Source organism: Homo sapiens, chromosome 5 (assembly GCF_000001405.40).
Source record: "Homo sapiens chromosome 5, GRCh38.p14 Primary Assembly".
In the NCBI taxonomy this organism is placed as follows: Eukaryota; Metazoa; Chordata; class Mammalia; order Primates; family Hominidae; genus Homo; species Homo sapiens.
Window position 1 is genome coordinate 162,272,721 of NC_000005.10, and position 5,202 is coordinate 162,277,922.

Genomic DNA, 5,202 nt, shown 5'->3' on the forward strand with positions numbered 1-5,202 from the left:
TTATTAGTTTTCTATAATTTATAGGGTTATAAAATAGTTCAAAAACACTGAAAAGCAAGGATAACCTGGAGACAGTACTAGACAGAACACTCAGTAATCTTTTTGGTCCATTTTGAAGCCCTTCACATTTTTTTCCTATACTAGAGTCTTGTTTTAATTGAACTTTATAGTATTATGAAAACATTCTAATGTATATGTGAGCTTTTAAAAAAATAATGTATCTCATGTAGGTTTGGCTTCTTCAAAAGCATTTTGATTTCATAGGAAGAAAAGCTTAATGAATCAAGGATTGTCTAGGTGACTTTGCTAGAAGAATTGCATCTAAACATTGATTAATGTGCTAAACATACATTTATTGAGTATAGGTTGTAAATAATGCACTTCCGAGCAGAAACAGAATTAACCTGGGCAAAATAAGTTTATTTTATATTATTTCTTAGCCTGCCAGAGCAGATGCTAGTTACAGCCAAAAGATCTATTGGATTTATTCTCTAGTATTTTAAAGGGTTCCCTGTTTCAGTAATCTCTAAAAGTAGGTCTGAAGGCTATTTCATACTGCTTGACACTCCAACAAGGTAGCTAACATCCATCCTCTGCCTAATTCCTTGGTACTCATGAGCCAAGCACTCATTTGAAATACTTCTCTCATGTTAAAGAGGCTCTCTAATAACAAGGAAATTGTTTGAGCCAAAAACTTTTTAAAAATCACACATTAGTATGAAACAAGACTCACAAAGCTTCCCAGCAGCCTTAGGGGGCTGACAGAATATAATGTGTCTTCTGTCCTCCATCAAAACTTTCAGGACACCTAACCTGGAGCCCTTTCTTTATCCTACATTGTCAGTGTTGCAGAGTTCCAGTACTGTGCCCTCTGGGAAACAGTTTCTCCGCTGGTGTAGAAGTTTAGGACATGCCATCCCAAAATATGCCACTTTGCTATATTGATTATGTTGAGCTGAAGGCACATGAGAAACAGCAGATGCAGGAAGGGCCTTTTGACCTCCCCTTTCTACTTAAAAACAGGCCATAACACATCCCGTGAGAAAAGTGCCTTCCTAGTACCAGGGAGAGAGAAACATCCTTATCATCAGAGATTAAAATGGATGCTGAAATGAATCTGTACAAATTTCGTGAGAAAGCCATATTTTCCATTAGTTTTCTGCACCTATCTCTTAGTGACTCACCTATATTTTTTTTTGCCCCTAGCCCAAACCCCTTCTTCAAGCCATTTCTTCACAAATTTATCAATCATTTTTCTAAAAGGTATATAAACTTTCTGCTCTTGTCACTTCTCTGGGTCTTCATTTTCTTGTGACTCCCATATACATGCACTATCCTAATAAAACTTGCAAACTTTTCTCATATTCATCTGAATTATTTCAGTTTAAGTCGTAGGCCCGGCTGGAGACCCTAAGAGGGCAGAGGAGAAATTTCCCATCTACATGGGAGTTCTCACAATAAAATGAAGAGTCATACTGTATGTTCCCTAATAGGAATTTGCTTGATTGTTTAAATATATATGAACAGTCTGATTAGACATTCATGAGTATATATTCATTAACTTTTAAAACTGCAGATATTTCTCCCAAATAAAGTTATGTCTGTGCATTTTAGATATGCAATAAATTCATTCATTCAAAAATATTTACTTAGAATCAATTGGTTAGTGTAGACAAATCTGTTCTCAAGAACTCTACAGTCAAATGGAGGAGATAGCTATAGAGCTATAGTTATATTTATTCTGGAATTACTTGTGTTTCAAAATATAGATTCTATTATTAGTCAGGTATGGCAAGGCCAACAGATTAAGAGACAATTGCCGTTGAAATGGTAGTTGGTTTTATTCACAGATTCCAAGAAATAGGCTCACAGGTTTTATTCACAGATCCCAAGAAATAGACTCACACTGAGAGTGGTCACACATGGCAGCACTGGGGTCTATCAGGGGGTGGGGATGAGGGTGGAAAGTGTGGGCAAGAGCCTTAACAGTGATTTCCAGAAGAAGGACCCTGGGAAGGCTGGTAAGTAGATTTAATTGCCATGGGCTCTGGGGCCCAGAGGAGCTATCCCTAATTGTCTGGCACCTGGCCCTGGAATGATTAGCCAAGCAGAGAGTGGGATAGTGGCCCAGAGTGTGAGGGCCCAGTAAGGGAATTTGTTGAAGTGTGAACTCTGGATTGGTTGGTTTGCATTTGAAAAGCTCACTCTTGGTGGAGTTGTTTACTCTCTTTAGGAATTAGGAACTAGAGAAACCACAGGAGGGGCTGGAATAGAAAGGCCCCAAATGTCAAAAGGTCAAAATACAGAAAATAAATAACAAGGTGAATACACTCATACTTAATTTTTTAAACCCTCAGTACCAAAAGTAATGATGAATAAAGGAAATGAGGGGAAATACGACCAACCATGAAACAAACAAAAAGTTCAGAATTGTTTGTACTTCTTTCTAGCTTCTTATAATGGGAATAAGATGGATAAGTTGAGCAAACTGTGAATCCAGGGACATAATCATAATTAATAACAGCAACTATTCAGGGTTTGCTTATCATGACTTGGGCATTATGATTAGTGCTTTTCATGCAGTTATTTGATTTGATTTTTCTGGCAACTCTGACAGCGTTAGGAAAGTGAGGCTTAGAGAGTAAGTAATTTTTTAAAGTTTACATAGCAAGTGAGTAGTAGAAGTGAAATTTATGCTGAGATATTTTCACTCACGTCCATGTGAAGAGACCACCAAACAGGCTTTGTGTGAGCAACATGGCTGTTTATTTCACCTGGGTGCAGGCGGGCTGAGTCCGAAAAGAGAGTCAGCTAAGGGAGATAAGGGTGGGGCCATTTTATAGGATTTGGGTGGATAAAGGAAAATTACTGTCAAAGGGGGTTGTTCTCTGGCGGGCTGGAGTGGGGGGTCACAAGGTGCTCAGCAGGGGAGCTTTTGAGCCAGGATGAGCCAGGAGAAGGAATTTCACAAGACAGTGTCATCAGTTAAGGCAGGAACAGGCCATTTTCACTTCTTTTGTGGTGGAATGTCATCAGTTAAGGCAGGAACTGGCCATCTGGATGTGTACGTGCAGGTCACAGGGGATATGATGGCTTAGCTTGGGCTCAGAGGCCTGACATTCCTGTCTTCTTATGTTAATAAGAAAAATAAAATGAAATAGTGGTAAAGTGTTGAGATGGTGAAAATTTTGGGGGGTGGTATGGAGAGATAATGGGCGATGTTTCCCAGGGCTGCTTTGAGAGGGATTAGGGGCAGCGTGGGAACCTAGAGTGGGAGAGATTAAGCTGAAGGAAGATTTTGTGGTAAGGGGTGATATTGTGGGACTGTTAGAAGAAACATTTGTCATTTAGAATTATTGGTGATGGCCTGGATACAGTTTTGTATGAATTGAAAAACTAAACGGAATAAGAGAAGGAGAAAAACAGGTACTAAAGGTTGAAGAATTGGGAGGACCTAGGACATCTAATTAGAGTGCCTAAGGAAATTCAGCATAGTCCTGTAAGCAAAGATTATTTATTTACTTCAAGAGTTAAGAGTGGCAGTTTGGGGATGGCACCAGGAGATATCAGCTGTGATGGCTTGGAGAAACAGTGTAAACCGGCAGTGTAAACAAAAGCAGGGCATGTATGAGTAGTTGAGAATGGTGAATAGGAGTATGACTAGACAGAAGATAGTAGGGATGACAAGTTTTTTGGGGGCACAGTCTAAGGTGCTCTGGTGTCTGGAATGAGACTGGGGCCTAATAAAAAGGAGCGTCTATACAGGAGCTCAAATGGGCTGTACCCTGTAGCATTCTGAGGACAGGTCTGACTTCTGAGAAGGGAAAGTGGTAAAAGTACTGTCCAGTCCTTTTTAAGTTGGTGGCTGAGCTTGGTGATGTGTGTTTTTAAAAGACCTTTAGTCCGTTCTACTTTTCCTGAAGATGGAGGACTATAAGGGATATAAAGGTTTCACTGAATACTAAGAGCCTGAAAAAGTGCTTGGCTGATTTGACTAATAAAGGCTGGTCTGTTATCAGACTGTATAGAGGTGGGAAGGCTAAACTGAGGAATTATGTCTGACAGAAGGGAAGAAATGACTTCGGTGGCCTTCTCAGACCCTGTAGGAAAGGCCTGTACCTATCCAGCGAAAGTGTCTACCTAGACTAAGAGGTATTTTAGTTATCTGACTCGGGGCATGTTGAGTAAAGCTAATTTGCCAGTCCTGGGTGGGGGCAAATCCTCGAGCTTGATGTGTAGGGAAGGGAGGGGGCCTGAATAATCCCTGAGGAGTAGTAGAATAGCAGATGGAACACTGAGAAGCTATTTCCTTGAGGATAGATTTCCACGATGGAAAGAAAATGAGAGGTTCTAAGAGGCGGGCTAGTGGCTTGTACTATAGCATAGCCTGCCTTTGCTGGTGTGTGGCGATTAGGCCTGGTGGAACTGCCATCAATAAATCAAGCGTGATCAGGGTGAGGAACAGGAAAGAAGGAAATATGGGGAAATGGGGTGAATGTCAGGTGGATCAGAGAGATACAGTCATGGGGGTCAGGTGTGGTATCAGGAATAATGTGGGAGGCCGGATTGAAGTCCGGGCCAGGAAAAATGGTAATTGTGGGACTTAACAAAGAGTGAGTACAGCTGAAGGAGCCAGGGAGCAGAAAGTATATGCATCAGGTGGGAGGAAGAAAATAGATTTTGGAAGTTATGAGAAATATAGAGAGTGAGTTGAGCATAGTTTGTGATTTTGAGGGCCTCTAAAAGTATTAGGGTGGCAGCAGCCACTGCACAGAGACATGATGGCTAGGCTAAAACAGTAAGGTCAAGTTGTTTGAACAGAAAGCCTACAGGGTGCTGTCCTGGCTCTTGTGTAAGAATTCTGACCACACTAACCATGCCTAGGAAGGAAAGGAGTTGTTGGTTTGTAAGGGATTGAGGTTTGGGAGATTAATCGGACACGATCAGCAGGGAGAGCACGTGTGTTTTTATGAGAATTATGCTGAGATAGGTAACAGATAAGGAAGAAATTTGGGCTTGACTGAAGTAATGGGGGCTGTCTGTGGAGCTTTGGGGCAGTACAGCCCAGGTAATTTGCTGAGCCTGATGGGTGTCAGGGTCAGTCCAAGTGAAAGCGAAGAGAGGCTGGGATGATGGGTGCAAAGGAATAGTAAAGCATGTTTGAGATCCAGAACAGAATAATGGATTGTGGAGGGAGGTATT

General features: G+C 41.1%; 2 annotated features.

Moving 5' to 3' along the window:
• Nucleotides 1,903-2,618: an enhancer, noted in NCBI's record as "OCT4-NANOG-H3K27ac hESC enhancer chr5:161701629-161702344 (GRCh37/hg19 assembly coordinates)". NCBI's record gives its function as "activates a minimal SCP1, AML or CMV promoter by ChIP-STARR-seq in primed H9 embryonic stem cells {active_cell/tissue: H9 hESC(primed)}" and the evidence as "EXISTENCE:reporter gene assay evidence [ECO:0000049][PMID:30033119]".
• Nucleotides 2,619-3,333: an enhancer, noted in NCBI's record as "OCT4-NANOG-H3K27ac hESC enhancer chr5:161702345-161703059 (GRCh37/hg19 assembly coordinates)". NCBI's record gives its function as "activates a minimal SCP1, AML or CMV promoter by ChIP-STARR-seq in primed H9 embryonic stem cells {active_cell/tissue: H9 hESC(primed)}" and the evidence as "EXISTENCE:reporter gene assay evidence [ECO:0000049][PMID:30033119]".